The sequence below is a fragment of the Homo sapiens genome, chromosome 5 (assembly GCF_000001405.40).
Source record: "Homo sapiens chromosome 5, GRCh38.p14 Primary Assembly".
NCBI classification, from domain to species: Eukaryota; Metazoa; Chordata; class Mammalia; order Primates; family Hominidae; genus Homo; species Homo sapiens.
The window spans coordinates 18,873,909-18,876,379 of NC_000005.10; positions in this window are offsets into that span (position 1 = coordinate 18,873,909).

Here is a 2,471-nt window from a genome sequence, read left to right on the forward strand (position 1 = left end):
TGATTTGTGCCTTCAATGGCCCTCCTAGGACACATTTGACTTAAAAAGTATTATTCCTTTTAAGAGGCCTTACCAAATACAGTAAGATTTCTCAGGCTTCATAGAACATTTTCTATTGGTATTCAAAGACCTCTAAACAAAACTCTGATTCAACAATTACTTCTCTAAAAAATAATATGGGAAAAGTTAATGAACCATTTACCAACTAGAAATTAGCAAAATAAGGAAAATAAAGTAGAACTGATTTTATAAAATAGAATATTACCACATGTAAGAAACTTCAAACATTTGTTATATATCAGGAGTAGACTGTAATTATACAATAGCCAAAAGATGGGCTGGGAACCATCAAAGGTTATTTAATGTCATTATTATAGGTAAGGAATTTTATCCTTGTTACCCTTAAAGGCCATTGAAGGGCTATAAGCAGATAGTGTCATGTTAAAGAATGCCCTATAACATTGAAAGAAATATCAAAACTGGGGAATGAATGTTCTTAATTAATGAATGCAAGATTAAATATAAGTTTAGAGTTTGTTGCATGAGAGAGATGAGAGCCAGAGTTGGTAATAAAGATGAGGGTGTGGGAACATACATTTAAGAGATACTACTAAGATGTTATCAAATGAAAGTGAAATAAGGCTGGGTGTGGTGGCTCATGCCTGTAATCCCAGAACTTTGGGAGGCCGAGGTGGGTGGATCACCTGAGGTCAGGAGTTCAAGACCAGCCTGCCAGCCTGGCCAACATGGCAAAACCCCCATCTCTACTAAAAATACAAAAATTAGCCAGGCATGGTGGTGTGTGCCTGTAGTGCCAGCTACTCAGGAGGCTGAGGCAGGAGAATCATTTGAACCCAGAACCCAGGAGGCAGAGGTAGCAGTGAGCAGAGATTGTGCCACTGCACTCTAGCTTGGGCAACAGACCAAGACTCCATCTCAAAAAAAAAAAAAAAAAGAAAAGAAAAAGAAAGTGAATTAAATATATCAATAATGATTTGTGTCAACACATCTTTATCAAGTAAGAAATATAAGAATAAAAACAGATTGTGGAAATTTAAAAGAAAAGTTTAATTTGTAAATTGCTTATATGTGTTGACCAATGGACCAGGGCTTAAATAAGAGATGTTTTAAAAATCTGAAGAGAGATTTTAAAATCACCACTGTAACAGTTTGTAGTTGGAGACATTGAAGTAGATAATGTCATTCAGATAAAATCACCCAGAATATGTATGGATACATTTTTGGACAACAGAGGTCTGAGAGTTAACCTGAAGATCAACCTATAAAAGATGGTTATTCAGAAAAAGATAAATGATGAAGAAAAGAAGGTATTAAATAACCTGGGAAAGAGCATCCACAGAAGAAAGCTGAGTCCAAGTGGAATCACTGGAGTCAACAGGAAGTCAACCTTGAGAAAAAGAGAAGGTTGAACATTGCCAAATGCTACAGAAAGAATTAAGATAAGAATTTAGCAAAAAGGATATCACTGATGATATTTGTGGGCTCCTCTTCAGTGGAGTAATGAGAGTGAAGGCCAGATTATAATCAACTGAGAAGTACCTGTCACAGGTAAGCAGAAACAGCAAATAGAACTTAATTCTATAAAGAGGCTTGACAAAACAGCAAATAAATTGGATGCCTGAAAAGGGAATTTTTGGCCGGGCACGGTGGCTCATGCCTGTAATCCCAGCACTTTGGGAGGCTGAGTCGGGCGGATCATAAGGTCAAGAGATCGAGACTATCCTGGTCAACATGGTGAAACCCCGTCTCTACTAAAAATACAAAAGCTAGCTTGGCATGGTGGTGCACGCCTGTAGTCCCAGCTACTAAGGAGGCTGAGGCAGAAGAATTGCTTGAACCCGGGAGGCAGAGGTTGCAGTGAGCAGAGATCATGCCATTGCACTCCAGCCTGTGCAATGGAGTGAGATTCCGTCTCAAAAAAAAAATAAAATAAATAAAATAAAATAAAGGGAATTTTTAGTAATAAATTTACCATCTACTAATAAAATGGTGTATTATACAGATTTAAAACTTATACTGCATAAGGTTATTTAGCAACATGTAATTAAGTTAAAATATATTAATAAGGAAAAAGCAGATTGATATTAGATATATATTTCCAACTATAAGAGATAAAATAAGTCTGTGATTTTACCAGAAAATGTTATTAAGCAGTATTGTCTCTATGGTGAGAAATACTTTTTTAAAATATTCATTTAAGTATTTTCAAAACTGCATGATGAGCATGTATTACTTTTTAAACAGTAATAAAAATCAAAGCAACACAGTATGTTTAACAGTGAGGGAAATAATTATTCTTTCTCCTATTTTTAATAGAAAAAATGTATTGTTACTGAAGTAAAATTTACATGTAAATGTTCATTTTGATGTTATGACAGCTTTTCAAAAAACCTGAAACAGAATACAGAATATTTTCATCACCCAAGAAATTTCCTGCTTTCCACTCCATT